The sequence below is a fragment of the Homo sapiens genome, chromosome 7, assembly GCF_000001405.40.
Source record: "Homo sapiens chromosome 7, GRCh38.p14 Primary Assembly".
In the NCBI taxonomy this organism is placed as follows: domain Eukaryota; kingdom Metazoa; phylum Chordata; class Mammalia; order Primates; family Hominidae; genus Homo; species Homo sapiens.
This window is the reverse complement of record NC_000007.14, coordinates 147,063,141-147,080,519: the sequence shown is the minus strand read 5'-3', so window position 1 is coordinate 147,080,519 and position 17,379 is coordinate 147,063,141. Positions and strand designations below refer to the sequence as shown.

Genomic DNA, 17,379 nt, shown 5'->3' with positions numbered 1-17,379 from the left:
ACTACATGAAACTATGGACAAACAAGTGAATTTTTAAAATTCTTTCATCATATATTAGTTAATTATTAATTATTAAGTCTCTTCACTTAATCAACATTTATTAAGTTCATGCTATACACCTGGCTGGTATATGCCTGGGTCTGGATACGAAGTTGAGTAAGATGTATAATCCAGGTTTAAAGTGCAAAAAAGGAATCCATGTAATTTAGAAAAGAAATGACATGTTTACGTTGGATAATTATTCCCATGTTTTCACAGTGGGAGATTATCTTGAAACACTACTCCCTTATACTTAATTGCCTCCAGGCATGGTGACAGGGTGATCTTTAGAATATGCACAAATCCAAAGGATCAAGTTTATAGCAAACAAAAAGAGAACAGGGAGCAATCTGGTTATGACATCAGTCACCTCCTAATTGGGGGGATATTTGCTGGCTAGCTGAGTTGCTTTCAAGCTAGAGGGTTCTAACCAATTAGTATATAAGAGAGCATATGGCTATGCAAAAAAAAAAAAAAAAAAGGACTAGGCTTTGAATTCTGGTTCTACTACTTACTAACTTTGTGCCCTTTTACAAGAAAGAGCACTTTTCTGAGTCTCAGTATGAAGTGATATTTAAAATATCTCATCAGGTGCTGATGACACATGACAGTAAGTCTCGCGGCTTACAGACACTGTGAAAGGACAAACACGTGGGGATTCTCAACAAACAGCAGCTATGGGATTGTTATTGTGTTTGCTGTTGTCATTGTTTTTAATTATTAATAGCACACAGATTATATACTCCATTTTTAATCTATTAAATGATTCCTATCAGGTAGCACAAAGTGGCAGGGTGTGTATTATAAAGAAGGAGTCAGGCAGGGAGTGTATTATAATTAATTTATTATTATTAGCATTATTATTATTATTATCATTATTATTATTATTATACTTTAAGTTTTAGGGTACATGTGCACAACATGCAGTTTTGTTACATATGTATACATATGCCATGTTGGTGTGCCGCAACCATTAACTTGTCATTTAGCATTAGGTATATCTCCTAATGCTATCCAGGGTGTGTATTATAAAGAAGGAGTCAGGCTGTGGGTCTTTTGAATACTGTTTTTCACGGGAGCAACATCCCAAACTGCATGTCCCACTAACGGTGGGATGAAGACAGCTCTGTCAGGCCGTGGTGTGGTGGCAGGTAGCACAGGTCCCAGAATTAGAAGCTCTGGGTTCCTGGCTGAGCTCTACTGCCTCCTAGCTGTGTTACTCAACCTCCCTGTGACCTCAGTTTTCCTACTAAATGGGGATAATAATAACATCTACCTCGTAGCACAGTTAGTGAGGATTAAATCAGTCAAAATGCGTAAAATCTTTATAACAATAGTTAGAAAACACCATGCACCAAAATATGCTAGTTATGTTATATTACAGAGTATGTCACAGACTAAATTAAGGTTTGACATCAAATTAAATAAGACGGCCAGGCCAGTGGCTCACACCTGTAATCCCAGCACTCTGGGAGGCCAAGGTGAGCAGATCACCTGAGGTCAGAAGTTCGAGACCAACCTGGCCAACATGGTGAAACCCTGTCTCTACTGAAAATAAAAAAAATTAGCTGGGCATGGTGGCGCACACCTGTAATCCCAGCTACTCGGGAGACTGACGTAGGAGAATTGCTTGAATCTGGGAGGCAGAAGTTGCAGTGAACTGAGATCTCACCACTGCACTCCAGCCTGGGGGACACAGTGAGACTCTATCTCAAAAAAAAAAAAATTAAATGAGACAATTAAAGAAGAAAAATTCAATATTAGAAATTAGACTAGATAGAGAGTTTTTTTTAATGGAGGAATAATTAGATAGATACCAAATAACGTTGTCTGTGTTAGACCATCGTGGCCAGGGGACCTATAGTTCCTATCTGGATTGCAGCCAAAATGGAACCTGCAGGCATCAAGCAAGGTCTGTTAAGAGATAAAGAATACCAAGGTGATAGAGCTTTAAAAAAATCTGTGCTTTCAACAGCTTCAGAATTCCCTGTCTAATCAGTAACAGCTTATCAAGCATGAGATGGGAGAAAAACAGTCATCGGGGCTCCAGATGGAAATGTTTAATGCATATGCAGTTTATAGGATGAATATAAATTGCAAACATGGTACATGGTAGTTTTTGGTTAATCTGCTGAACAAAAAAAGTATTGAATTTGTTCTACTTTAATTAATGAGTAACTGAATATTTGATACAGCAACGTACTTAACTCTTTCACAGAAAGTCAACGGCCAGTGATTTCGCAGATAAAGTTGGCATTGTCAGGGTTATTTTCATTATACATGTAATTCTTTCAAGGTATATTTTGCAGCAGAGATAAAGTCTTATATGTATTGCGATCCTCTCTTTGTGCTGATGAAAAATATCTATCAATCTACTTAATTGTGCAGCATACATTGGAGAAAAATGTAAGTATCATTTAAAATGTTTGGCACTCTTTGAAAGGAAGGAAGGTATATCAGATGTCATAGACAAGAGAACTAATAATATACCCTGTTAGTTGGTAGTAAGAAGCCTGAAAATGTAAAAAGTAATAATGTGGAGTGAATAAAGTGATATGTTCTGTCTACAGCTATTTCTTTATCTGTAATCTGTGTATCTTGAAGCCTATTTTAATTGCATACGTATTACATTTATATAGTACTTGCTATATGTTCCAGAACCTTTACAAAGTTACCTGATGCAATCCTCATAATCACCCTATTATGAGGGTACTATCATTATTCTCATTTTATAGGTAAGAAAACTGAGGCACAGAAAGGCTAAGTAACTTGCCCAAGGAAGCTAGAAAATGTCAAAGCTTGAAATTTCAAGCTAGGCTGGCTTTTGTACTCAACCACTCCACTGGGCTGTGTAGCTAGATGGTACCCAAAATGAACCTGCATACATTATTTATGTATTTGGTGTGTATCCATTGACAAGAGTGGTAAAAGACTGGAGAAACAGTCAGAAAATATTTTACTATTAGATAAGGTTTCAGGAAGTACGGGGATCTTGCGTCTACCTAAGAATATGAAACGGCTCATCACCAGTGTTGCTTTGAGTCTTTTCCTTTTGTGAAGTTGAATCATACATGCATCTTTTGTTTCCACTAAATAAAGTGTGCAATTGAAAAAAAAGCATTTCTGCTAATCATAATTGCATTCACTTTCTCCAGATACCAAAGAGAAAAGAATTAGGGCCACCTGTAATTTTAGAACTAAAGATACAAATGTAGGTTACTTTTATAAGGAAAAAAAGAAAAGTTAATTTTTTTAAATAATAAATTTGTTTTAGTAAAAAAAAGATTAAAATCTGAGTTGTAGACACAATAGGGCTAAATTGGAAAACAATGGAAAAAAGAATTTAAGGATGAGAAAATACTTTTTTAAATTTTCTCAGATTAAAATTAGTTTTATATTAAGAAGCTAAACGATATATTTTCTAAGTAATTCAATTAAAACATCTAATACCATAGTATCTGTGGGAGGAAACGAAGCAGTTGTGTTTTAAAGAAACTCAGGAAACTAATACAATGTTCCTTATTTGCCAGCTGAGGGGTTATTGCTATACATTTGTAGCAACGTCCATTAAAAGAGAAGTAGCTATTTTAAAATGCAAATAGCTAGTTTGACCTTCACAATGCTCTTTTTCTTCTTGTTTTCTAAATTATAAATCTTGCATTCTTTTTGATAGTAAAGCCAGAACGTCTATTAAAGTAGAAAATATAAACAGCTTAAACATTGCATATTATTCATCACCCATAGTATTAATGAAATTTACACTGACAGAAGTAACAAGGAACAACATCCTGAAGTCTTTGGTTGACTTTTTAAATTGTGTTCATGATTAAAACTCATATACTTTTCATCACTAATAAAAATGCAGCAGATTAAAAATTGCTTTGAAAGTCATAACTGATTTCACTTAGAAATTTATTCACTTAAAAATACTACCCATCTGACAAAGGGCTAATATCCAGAATCTACAAAGAACTTAAACAAATTTGCAAGAAAAAATCAAACAACCCCATCAAAAAGTGGGCAAAGGATATGAACAGACACTTCTCAAAAGAAGACATTTATGCAGCCAACAGACACATGAAAAAATGCTCATCATCACTGGCCATCGGGGAAATGCAAATCAAAACCACAATGAGATACCATCTCACACCAGTTAGAATGGTGTTCATTAACAAGTCAGGAAACAACCGGTGCTGGAGAGGATGTGGAGAAATAGGAACACTTTTACACTGTTGGTGGGACTGTAAACTAGTTCAACCTTTGTGGAAGACAGTGTGGCGATTCCTCAAGGATCTAGAACTAGAAATACTATTTGACCCAGCTGTCCCATTACTGGGTATATACCCAAAGGATTATAAATCATGCTGCTATAAAGACACTTGCACACGTATGTTTACTGCAGCACTATTCACAATAGCAAAGACTTGGAACCAACCCAAATGTCCATCAATGATAGACTGGATTAAGAAAATGTGGCATATATACACCATGGAATACTACGCAGCCATAAAAAAGGATGAGTTCAGGTTCTTTGTAGGGAAATGGATGAAGCTGGAAACCATCATTCTGAGCAAACTATCGCAGGTACAGAAAACCAAACACCACATGTTCTCACTCATAGATGGGAATTGAACAATGAGAATATTTGGACACAGGGTGGGGAACATCACACACTGGGGCCTATCGTGGGGTAGGGGGAAGGGGGAGGGATAGCATTAGGAGATATACCTAATGTAAATGACCAGTTAATGGGTGTAGCACACCAACATGGCACATGTATACATATGTAACAAACCTGCACGTTGTACACATGTACCCTAGAACTTAAAGTATAATTTAAAAAAAAGAAAAAAGAAGAAATTTATTCATTTAAAAATATCATATTAAAAATGTTATGGTATTTCATACATTCATATACTATTATTATTGTTAGTCTGGAATGCTTGATGGACATAATCTTATGAATTTTCAAAATATTACTCCCCAAATAGCAAGAAGAACCAGAATCCTTATAATAAAGCTTTCGTGCTGGGTAGAGCTAGAAGGAAATGTGTTGTAATACCATCTTCAGTTCATGTTACCACAAGCCATGGGGATTTCTTAAGTTCTAGATAAATGAGTATATAAAAGTAAAGGAAATTAAAGGAATGTGGCAGTCAAGAGAACCCAGGCTGTAGGTTAAATCGACACATAAGAATAGGATACTAATACTTCTCATCCAGTAATTTCAACTAGATGTGCAATCAATATTGTTTACCCACACAAAGTACAAACAATTTACATAAATGAAGCATTTATTTATAAAATGAGATTCATGAGTGAATTTTTATTCCCATGTATCAATCTTTTCACTATAGCAAACTTAAAAGTTTCATAACTGTGAAGGGTCCTTTTGAAACTTGCCTATATTCAACAATCAGAGAATAACATTACTGTGTACTCTTAACGGTGTTTGACAACTTCCTAAAATGGACCAGACACTTATATCTTAATCTCAATTTAATCCTCATCCACAATCTGGACCCTCACTGAGCTTGGTTATAAATGTATTGTCTAATTAAAAAAAATGCTTCAGAAGGAGCAAAACACCATTAGATATGCCAAGCACAGCTATTAACATAGTTGAAGCTCTGAAATCTCACCCCAGAAGGTTTTGAGAATTCTTGATGGCAATCTCACTTTCAATAGAAACATACTGAAAATGAAATAAGACAAAACACAAACCTCCTGATATAGGGTATAATATTATTTCAAAGAGCCATAATATTATTTAAATGATTGATTTTCATTTTTAATATGATGTATATTTTGGCCTATTCTATTTCACTGGCACATTTCTATTTATTCATATCATTCTACTTATAAATAGAACTTCTAAAAGGTTCCATATAAGTGTAACAAAGGAAAGATAAGAAAGCAAGTTTTTTACATCTAATGGGGCTTTTGCATTATGAACATGAAGAAATGCTAATCCATGATGCGGCTACTGTCAGCATATTTTCTTAAATGCTAACTGGTCAACCATAGAAATGGTGGCAGGAAAAGAACTTAGCAGAGATGAGGATGGGGAGGAAAAGATGGATTGGTAGCAGTGCCATATGCAGATGTGAGGAAATGAGCAAATATTTATCATAGCTAAATGAGGCACATCATCTGTAATGGGGAAGGGGAATATAGTTACTTGCCTATCTGAACCCATAGCATAGGCCAACCAAGCACACCATCCAAGAATATCAAGCAGATGATAAATGGAAGAGCAGATGGAGATCTCCAGAAACAACAAAAGAAGGGAAGCAGAATGATTATCAGGGAAACACGTTGGTTTTGAGGGGCTGCCACTGAAAATGTTGGATCTTACCTATGGTTCTTCAGCCAGGGTGAATAGAATGAAATAAATTCTACGGAGTGCAATAGCTAGTGAACTGTCATATACCAAGAAATAATAATAGGTTAATTGAATTCACCATCTTGATTCCAAAAGCAGGCTGTTTAAAAGAGCGAACAAATGAAATGCCTCATCTTTATCCTATTATCTGATGCTGTGTTTCATTTGGAAATGCCACACTGCATTTTCTGACTCAATCTCCTAACCCCACCCTTCATCCCCATACTCCATTCACATCACCCAGGTTTAAATTTCCGTCCCTTCCATAAACAACTCATGCTATGGTCACCAACAACTTCAATTTTACTAATTTCCTGGACAATATTTTAGTCCTCATCTTGCATGATCTCTTAGCAGTGCTCATCCCTGGTGCCCATTTCTGTCTTCCTGGCATGCTTTCTTGTCACATCTCCCTTCTAGATTTCCCCTGACCTACCTGCCACTCATTCTCTGTCTGCTTTGAAGCTTATGTTCCATTATTCAGCCATTATTTTTAGATCTAAGGACCAGTCTTAGATGCTCTTCTTTTCTCACCCTCTATTCTCACCCTTAGGTGATCTCATCCAAACACGGTTTCAATTACCTCTCCTATGCATAGCTAAGTCACAATTTGTCGTTTGTCCTATCCAAGCTGAGATCTTGACTCCTTTATTTAGTTATCCACGCAACACCTTGTAGATGCCGTAAAGGCACTTCGGATTCAACATTTACCATGTGTGCTCATTATTTAGCTGCCACTTACAAGCGAGAACATACAGTATTTGTGGTTTTTTTTTTTTTTTTACATTCCTGCATTAGTTTACTAAGGATGATGCTCTCCAGTTTCATCCGTGTCCCTGCAAAGGACATGATCTCATTCTTTTTATGGCTACATAGTATTTTGTGGAATATATGTACCACATTTTCTTATCCATAAAACAAACCTGCATATGTAGTCCTGAACTTAAAATAAAAGTTAAAAAAAAAAAAAAAAGAAAAGGCTTTGGGAGGCCGAGGCGGGTGGATCATGAGGTCAGGAGATCGAGACCATCCTGGCTAACACGGTGAAACCCCATCTCTACTAAAAATGCAAAAAATTAGCCGGGCGTGGTGGCGGGTGCCTGTAGTCCCAGCTACTTGGGAGGCTGAGGCAGGAGAATGGTGTGAACCCAGGAGGTGGAGCTTGCAGTGAGCCGAGATCACACCACTGCACTCCAGCCTGGGCAACAGAGCAAGACTCCATCTCAAAAAAAAAAAAAAAAAAAAAAGAATAAAGGAAGAAAAGGAAATAAAGACCCAGAGTGTTAAGTTCACCTCCTCAAAAATAAAAAAAACAACAGATGTGTGATCCTTTCTTTAAATCTGAGTCTCTCCCATCAGTCCATACCTGCATGGTATTGCCCAATACCAGGTAAAACCAGACTGACACATGGGAGGCATTTCCAGCACTTTTTTCCACCACAGCCCACATGTAACCCACAACCAAGTTCTGTAGATTTTACCTTCTAATAGCTCTTCAATCCTCCCAGATATTTCCACTCTGCTACCACCATCCTAGTCTAGGCTGCCAGGTCTCACCCTGGCACTGCAGTCATATCCTGTGACAGGTGTTACCAAGTCTTCTCTTTCTGCCTTCAGACCTGTCCTCTACACCACAGCCAGAGCAAGGCTTACCCAGAGCAGACATGATCATGATATGCTTCCTCCATGTCCATCACTCCAACACATACAAACTGTTGGCTTAAGATAGTTTGGTGGCATCTCTTTGGGTTTCTAATGGAATCAAAACCAGAAATCAGGAACATTGCCTAAAAAGCCATCTATTGCAGGATTTGTCAACTCTCCAGCCTTATTTCATACCAAATCACCCTTCAATCTCGGTGCTGCAGCCACACCAGCCTTGTCTTTCTGCCCCAAGAGTTCTGTTTATGCTCTTTTGTTTACCTGAAATATGACCCTTCCTCCTACCTTCACCTACTTTCCAAAGCTCAACCAGCCATCACCTCCCTGGAGAAGTTCTCCCTCAGATCACTACTGAAGTCACATTTCCGTTGGCTTCTATTACCTTGAGAGCACTACCATCCTCCAGGATGAGTACAGGTGCAATATGACCTCCACTGTGCAGATCTGTAATGTCAGTCTCCCCACAAAGGCAGAGACTGGTTTTTATTTTCATCATGATACCCTGGGCATATCCAGCCCCTAGTACATGGTTGGTTCTTAGTCATTGTTACTGAATCAATGATTGTTATTATGACCAAACAAAAGTTTTTGATACAGATGGCCAGAACTCTCAAGAATGACTTGAAACAAGATATTTGTGATCCTCTGTCTAGTACTACATAGACCAGCATTTTTGGTCATTCATTAACTTGCTAGTTGATTCATTCTGTGCCACTCCCTCAGCCTTAACTACCCGTATCTTCTTTTCCACATGTCTCACTCTTACTCATTTTACAGATCTCAGCTTAAATGTCACTTTCTCATATGTGGCCAGGGAATATCTGTTAAGTGAATGATGACCCTATCAAGTATTCACTGATTGCTATAATTAGGTGCCAGAGAGCATACTAGGGCCTGGGGTTACAAAAATTGATATGAAGCTTTTTCTGCCATCAGGAACTCATTTCATATTTGGGGACTGCAGTTATGTAGAGAGATAATTAAAGCCTAATATAAATGGTACAAGAGAGGGATGCATCTCCTGCTTGCTGAAAGATGCACGGGGCAGTCCTGCTGCTGTTCCCACAGAGTATGGTTGGAGGAATGTATACATCTTTTTTTTTTTTTTGCAGGATAATCTGCTTTATACCTGTTAGCTGAATAACTTTAAAAGTATCACTTCATTATTTGTTAAAAAGAAGAAAAAGTCACTATTTTAAAACATTGCTTGAAAATTTCTGTTATGGAGAAAATTTAACTAAACACTTTGATGGGCCATTTGCCGATGAAATTATAGGCCCTAGAGCACCAGTCAGAAGGCTGGGTTGAATTGCTTTACACAGCAAAATAAAAGGAATGTGTCTATGGTGAAACAGCTGGAAGAAGTCAAGCAAGAGTCCCACAGAGTTGAAGACACAGAGGGATACATAATGAGGTCCTGGGAGAAAAAGAGAGGCCAAACCATATACCCAGGTCCTGGGCCTGGAGTGAAGCAAATACACACACACACACACACACTGCCAGTGGTAAATTTCCTTTAATTATGCTTCTTTTGAAAACAGAGGTCTCTGCTATTTAGTTTTAAATCATGTTCTGATACATTTCCATCGTAAATGAGAAGCCTTCTCAAATAATTCCTTAAACCTTCCAGCCAACAATATGAGTATATTCAAGAGAAATTTGTGAAAGCTAGTTAAAGTTGCCTGACATGGAATCCGTACTCTAAGAAGGACATAAAAACATGGGGCCTTAATCAGCAGTTGCATCCCTGTCTTCTTTCCCTGGCAAGGCTATATGACTCTTTCAGTTTAATGACAAATGCAAAGCTCTTCAAATTCCCTGGAACCACAGGTAGGCTATATAGAAATCAAAGACTAAAATCCTAGCATTGGGTAATCTCTGGATCAGATCAGCATTCTAACAGTCCTTCTGAGCTCTCTAGGACCCAACTTCTGATCAGACTGTCAGTTAGGATCTCAGAATTCCCCGAATATCCGTTCTTAGGTGTGGTTAATACGATGACACTTCTCAGAGCATTTGAACCTTGAAAATGAGCTAACCATATGTGGTTTTGGCTACAGAAGAATTGATAGCTCATTTTTCCCCGACAGGCAATGTGCTTTTTCTGCCTCTGCATTTATGTCTATTTATATTTTTATTTGAGTGTTTCGGATGAATCTAGTCCCCCTCAAAAGATTCCACGTGAAAAGAGACTATGCTATATACCTAATTTCCCTCTGAGATTGTAGATAGGCACAATATATTTTCTTTAAAGTGAAAACAAAGCACATAAAATTGCAATATGTAAAAAGCATAGTACTGAGCCAGTCTATTTTGTTTCTGGTTGAAAAGAGATTTTCAGGTCATTTGTTTGTCAGGTACACATTAATAAAACAAATGTTGAAACTGCAGACATATCACAGGTCTTATTTATAGCCAAAGCTGTCAAGTTTCCTGTAGAAATCCAGCTGTGACCGATAGATTATTCCTCTATGCTGTGTTGTCTAATACTGCAGCCACTATCCCAATATGATTAATTGAACTTAAATTTAAATTAGTTAATAACAAAAATTCTGTTTCTCAGCCACTATAGCCACATTTTGAATGCTCCATAGCTACATATGGCTAGTGGCTACTGTATTGAACAAAGCAGAAGTGGAATATTTCCTCTATCACAGAAAATTCTATTGGACAACTCTACCTACTAGAAAACAGAGAATGATAGTAAGTAAGCAACTTTGAGATTAGCAGCTAATGAGTTTGGGGAACTGGATCTCCGATTGTCAGAAAGGGCCAGCTTTTATATCTTTACTCAATCTCTATGTTACGTAAAGCTTTAATTCCATTATTTATGTGACCTCTTCCCTCCCCTACCAACTGCTTTCTTACTGTCCCATCCCAGAAAGTCATACTGTTTGTTCTCCGTGAATAGAATTTATTAGAAAATAAAAAGTAAATAGTTGGAGAATATGTGGAAGACAGAATTCTGAGATGGCCCCTATATGTCCTTGCCTCTGGGACAGGTGACCTGTATAATCCCCTTCTTCTGAGGGTGAACAGAATCTGTGAATATGATGGGTTTTCTTTTCTGATTATGGTTATGTTATACAGCATAGTAAGTGGATTTAGTATATGTAATTAAGGTCCTATATCAGCCAGGGATTCACTGAAGAAACAGAACCAGGATGATAGAGTTTGCATATTTATGCTCTCCCCCTACCCTGCCATTCTAACATTGAAATGTAATTCCTAATGTTGGAGGTGGGGCCTAGTGAGAGGTGTTTGGGTCATGGGGGTGGATCCCTCATAAATGGCTCTGTGCCCTTCCCCGGGTGATGAGTGAATTCTTGCTCTATATTTTCCCCATGAGATCTGATTGTTAAAAATGGCCTGGCACTTCCTCTCTCTTTCACTCCCTCTCTCGCCATGTGAAAACAGATTTCCCTTGCCTTCTGCCACGAGTAAAAGTTTCTGAGGTCTCACCAGAAGACGCCAGCACTTCCTGTACAGCCTGCAGAACCATGAGCCAAATAAACTCTTTTGTTTTATAAATGACCTAGCTGCAGGTATTCCTTTACAGCAATGCAGAAAGGACTAACACACGGGAGGATACACAAATATTAAGATGTATTTCACGAAATTGGCTTATGCAATGTAGGGGATGATTTGGCAGTTCTGAAGTCCATAGGACAGGCTGTCAGGAAAGGCAGACTGGAAACTCTTGGGAAGAAGCCCAGGACCAGCTAGACTATTGGAGATAGCCTCCTTTACTTAAAGTAAATTTATTATGGAGTTTGTGGCCAAGCGCAGTGGCTCATGCCTGTAGTTCCAGCACTTTGGGAGGCTGAGGTTGGCGGATCACGAGTCCAGGAGCTCGAGACCAGCCTGGTCAACATGGTGAAACCCCATCTCTACTAAAAATACAAAAGTTAGCTTGGCGTGGTGGCATATGCCTGTAATCCCAGCTGCTTGGGAGGTGGAGGCAGGAGAATCAGCTTGAACCTGGGAGGCGGAGGTTGCAGTGAGCTGAGATTGAGTCACTGCACTTCAGCCTGGGCGACAGAGCAAGACTATGTCTTGGAAAAAACAAACAAACAAATAAATAAATAAAGTCAATTTATTATGGAGTTTAATCTTGTCTATAAAATACTTCCATACAACACCTAAGTTAATGTTTGATTGGCCAACCCAAGAAGGTAGCCTTGCCAAATGGACACATACAACTGATGCTCACAGGTCTCCAATTAGTTGATTTTAGGTCAGAAGAGTGACCATCCTTAGTGGGCCTGAGTTAGGCAGATGACCCCTTTAAAAGAGGATACAGAGATTTGAGATTTGTAGCAACAAAGGCTGTCTCTCCTGCCATCCCTGAAGAAGTAAACCATCCTGAGTTCTATAGCTGCGATAAAAAGACTTCTGCCAACAGTATTCGAGCTTGCACAAGAAGCCTGAATCTCAGCCCAGACCACAGCCTAGGCTGACACGCCGATGGGCTAGGCCATGCCCAGACACCTGGTCCACAAAAACAGTAAAATAATAAATGTCTGTTCTAAGGCATAAGTTTGTGGAAATTGTGCCATATAAGAAACTAACACAAAATGGAATGGGAAGAGAACAACCGAATGCGAATCGAGAGGATTAGGTAAGTGTGGCACTGAGCTGAGGAGACTTCATAAGATACTCAACAGAATGCTTGTTGAAATTATTTTCTTTCTATCAATGAAGAATTTCTTTGTTTCATCTTTAAGGATAAAGAAGTTGAAGCTCAAAAATTAAGTAGTTTGCCCAAAGTGAAATAGTACCTGTCAGATTCAAGATTTGTATTCTAGGGACAGTTCAGATTATCTCTTCTTATGGATGCCTGAATTAATGTCGGACAGGTGGGTTTTTGATTAGTCACTGCTACATTGTAAATATTATAGCATACTCATAAAAAAGAATTATGAAAAAATACCATTCTTTGGAATAGCAATACACAGTTTTTTGAGTTTAGTAGATCTAATCCCTCATTGCCCAAATGTTGGTGTCCCCTCCCAAAATTCATGTTGAAATCTGACCCCCAATAAAACAGCATTTGGAGGTGGGGCCTTTGTGAGTTAATTAGGTCATGAGGGTGGAGGCCTTATGAATGGGATTAGTCCTTTTTTTTTTTTTTTTTTTTTTTTGAGACGGAGTCTCACTCTGTCACCAGGCTGGAGTGCATTGGCGTGACCTTGGCTCACTGCAACTTCCGCCTCATGAGTTCCAGTGATTCTCCTGCTTCAGCCTCCTGAGTAGCTGAGATTACAGGTGTGTGCCACCATGCCCGGCTAATTTTTGTATTTTTAGTAGAGATGGGGTTTCACCATGTTGGCCAGGATGGCCTCGGTCTCTTGACCTCGTGATCCACCCACCTCAGCCTCCCAAAGTGCTGGGATTACAGGCGTCAGCCAATGCGCCCAGCCTAGTCCCACCTTAAGAAGTGACCAGACAGCTAGCTCGTTCTCTTCGCTATATGGTGATACAACAAGGAACTAGCAGTCTGCAACCTTGTACAGGGCCTTCACCCAAACTCGATGATGCTAGCACCCTGATCTTAGATTTCCAGTCCCCAAAACTATAAGAAATAAATTTATATTGTTTACAATCACCCAATCTATGGTAATTTGTTACAGCAATCTTACCTGACTAAAAGACAGTCTAACATGTGGTCTTCAAAATAAAGAGGAAATAAATACCCACCATGGTTGGCATTAGGGAAAGCAAACCTGTTTAATTACTGATGCCAACATTTTTTATCTTGACTATTCTCCCCCATTATGAGTTTGTGCACCCTTTCTCAGTAAGAAAAACTCGTTAGAGTCTGTGTGAACACTTACTAGTCTATAATTGGGAATGAACACAGCAAGAATTTTAGGAAACTTAAAATCTCCTGTAAGGCTTAAATAGAATTTATAAAATCCAATATGTCAGAATTTGTTACCAGATATATCTACAAGGCAAAAACAATTTCCAGTGTGATATGCTGTTTAGTTTTATAAAAAGGAAAGCCCATCTAGAAGGCAACTTCAGCCAACCATGAGCGTGGAGAAGCCACCGTCTGCTGTGTCACCTGTCCTGTTCTCATCCCGGATTTGGCAAGTAGAGGTGAGATTTGAAGTAGTCTGTCGTATGATGTCTTGGCTGTAATGGTAACAGAACTGACGAAATAACCTTAGAACTGACGACGATCTGCTGAAAGTTACAGTCTACCAGCATCTTCAATTCAGTTTAAAGAACTGTTAGGGTCATTGAGAAAACTTTTGTTCTTTCTAATTAAATAATAGGTCAGTGTGACCTTTGTTGCCTTCTAGTTTCTGTACATCAAGCTCCTGTTGCAGATATCAAGCTTTTGCTTTTAGACCTCTGAATTAACTTGTAAGGTTTTTTGTTTCTTTGTTTTTTGTTTTGTTTTGTTTTGTTTTATAAAACCACCTTTTCCACCTTTTTTATACTTCAGAGTTTGGAAAGGAGACAGGTACAAAAGATATGAGTCAACTTCATGAGAAAATCACCGTCTTTATTTTCTTAATTTTCCTAATTAAAACTCCTAATTTTAATATTGACTAAAATGTAAGTAAAATCAGAAATATATTTCTAATGATTTTTACTTATAATAATTTCTACTTCTAACAATCAACTTAAAAATGCCTATTAGCTTTGTGCAACTTACATTTTGAGATGCTGAGAAGAGTAGGAATTCAGTATAATAACCAGTTTGTGTCTTTAAGAAATTGATAATGGACTTGAAGAATATACTAAAAAAGCATAATTAATTCCTCATAAAATTTTAAGATACAAGGGAAACTGAACATATAAGTGACAGGATATAAGAGGAAAACTTTATCCACACAACAGACATGTAGGTTCAAATCTGTGTCTGCCACTAACCAGCTAGTTGGCAACCAACAAACTACAGCCACTCCTAATGTTGTTTACCTGGTGTTTAAATATGAGAGTTGGAAAAGATCATCTTAAATTGTACTTAAGAATTACACTGCCCCAATTTCTGAATAGTTAGTTAGAACAAATAGGCTCATACTTACATCAAAAGTTCATCTGTAGTCAACTTAATTTCATTCTTATCCAATATATTTCTTGACTTAGAATACAAAATAGCCTCTAGTGAAGATTCAAATGGTTGCCATTTGCTTAATAATTACTATGTGCAAGACATTTTCCATTAAACTTTTCAATTAATAATTAACAATATTAAATAACGGCTATTATCACATTCACCTTACATATAGGAAACTGAGCTCCAAAAAGGTCAATGACTTGCTTAAGGCTTCATAGCTAATAAGGGAAGAGCTGGAATTTGGACAGGGCTTTATATTACAGTAGATTTCTTGTCCATTTGTGCATTTAAAACAATCTCATCTAAACTATTTTCTATCAGAAGCAGAAATTAGAAGAAAAACATGTATAGAACAGATTTACTTAATTTCAGAGGCATTTAAATACTCAGCATTTTATTTTTCATTTGGACAGGTTAAACACTTTCATCAGCTTATTTCATAAGGAATTTGAGCTCTTGAAACTGCAAAATTGATGTGGGCTTCACAGTCTTAGTTCTAAAAATCTGTGTCTTTCTGGACTGAAACAAGGTCAGCCAACTGGGAAGATTTTAACATTTTTAGAAAATGGATTTGTTTTATATAGTTTTGTTGGAGATGGAGAGAATGATTTTCCATTCCCTACAGTAATTTCTTCTTTATTATTCTTTATTTAAGGATATATTGACATTGAATAAGTCCCCTCTGCTATTAATTGAATATTTTGCAACTACTTACAGAAAAATACACTATAAGAACTGTGACTGGAGATGGGAAAGAAATGGGAGGAAAGAAAGGCGGTGTGTGTGCATTCAAGGTAATACAAACAACACTCACCTTTTGTGAAGAATGCTATGTGAGGCACAGGGAAAATGTCAAATCTCTATAGATGGTGTGGTCAGTCAAAGAATTCTTCCACATCATTTAGCAGGTGAGATGCTACCCTTTCATCAAGTATCTCACAAGCCTCTTGTTATACAATGGAGAGGTTTTTATGGTAGGATATGCACTTAACAGCAATATACAGAGCATGTGCCTGTTACTTTTTTCCATTTCATAATGTGTGAAACAAATTTATGAACTATTTGTCATAAGAATTCTGATATATCAATTAAGTTGACATTGGAGTTTTAATAATCTTTTGTTAATGCTCACTCAATACACTATTTCTAGGAACTCTCCAAAATTAAAAATTAAAATGACACATTAAATAGCATGCTAATGGTAAGTCAGCCTTTTAATACTACTTTAACATGCCATTTCAAAAGGCTTATGAAGTGCTATACTTAAAAACCACTAGAGGACATTTGTTAAAGATTGCAAACAGTGCTATTAACTAACATATTTTATATTGATTTCGATGAGTTGTCCCTATTTCTTTCCATCTCTCACTTCTCTGTCTTATCTTTCTCGAAAGCTGCTGTAATTCTTAGCTAACTTACATATCCTTACTCTCCTATAATGTCAAAATGATCATACAATTGTGAGAAATTGAAACTGTGACTAGATAAGATTTTTTATACTGCTTTTATATTTTTTATATTACACTGCTTTTTTAATGTGATATTGAAAATATAGATTTTAGGTACTGTCTATGGTTTTAATTTTATATATAAATTAAAACTGTGACTAGACAAGGATTTTTATGACATAAGTGTGCTGAGTCTTCTTTGCAAATATAACTGTTTTTAAGTCATTTTGCTGGACTTTATATTAATTACTAGACATTTTTGCCTCTCATTCCTGTTTCTCCTATGAATTAATTTATTATTTAAAAATAGCTTAAGTGTAGACATTCTTTACTTTCTTGGGCCCAATATGCTCCTTCATAGTTCCACTGGGCATACAACAATTATTTTTATTTTCCAGAAAAAAACTGAGATTGCTGTTATCTCCTCCTCCCTTAAAAATGCATCTATAAAATGTCCAAGTGTGGAAAGGAACCCAAGTGTGTCCCATACCTGCGGTTGTAAAATTATCCTCTAGTGTAAATTGCTGAGCAATTGGCCATTTTTTTTTACCAACAAAGTCATTTCATATATAGGATAGATAAAAGAGGGATTCATTCTTTCACAACTATTTTAAGAATATCTATTACATGCAAGGCAAAATGCTCACACTCAAAGTCCACCCATTGATGACTTCTAATAGAAATGAAAACGTACATGTTACCTTAAATGTAATATAGTGGAAGAGCATGGGGCTAAGCACTAAAACCAAATCCAATACGGTTCTGCTACT

General features: G+C 37.2%; 1 protein-coding gene across 2 annotated transcripts in view; it reads right to left on the bottom strand.

Annotated features, from left to right (window-relative positions):
- The window catches only part of CNTNAP2 (contactin associated protein 2), a 2,304,198-nt gene that overhangs the window by 1,340,479 nt on the left and 946,340 nt on the right, over positions 1 to 17,379 (bottom strand). The gene's annotated exons all lie outside the window — the stretch shown is intronic.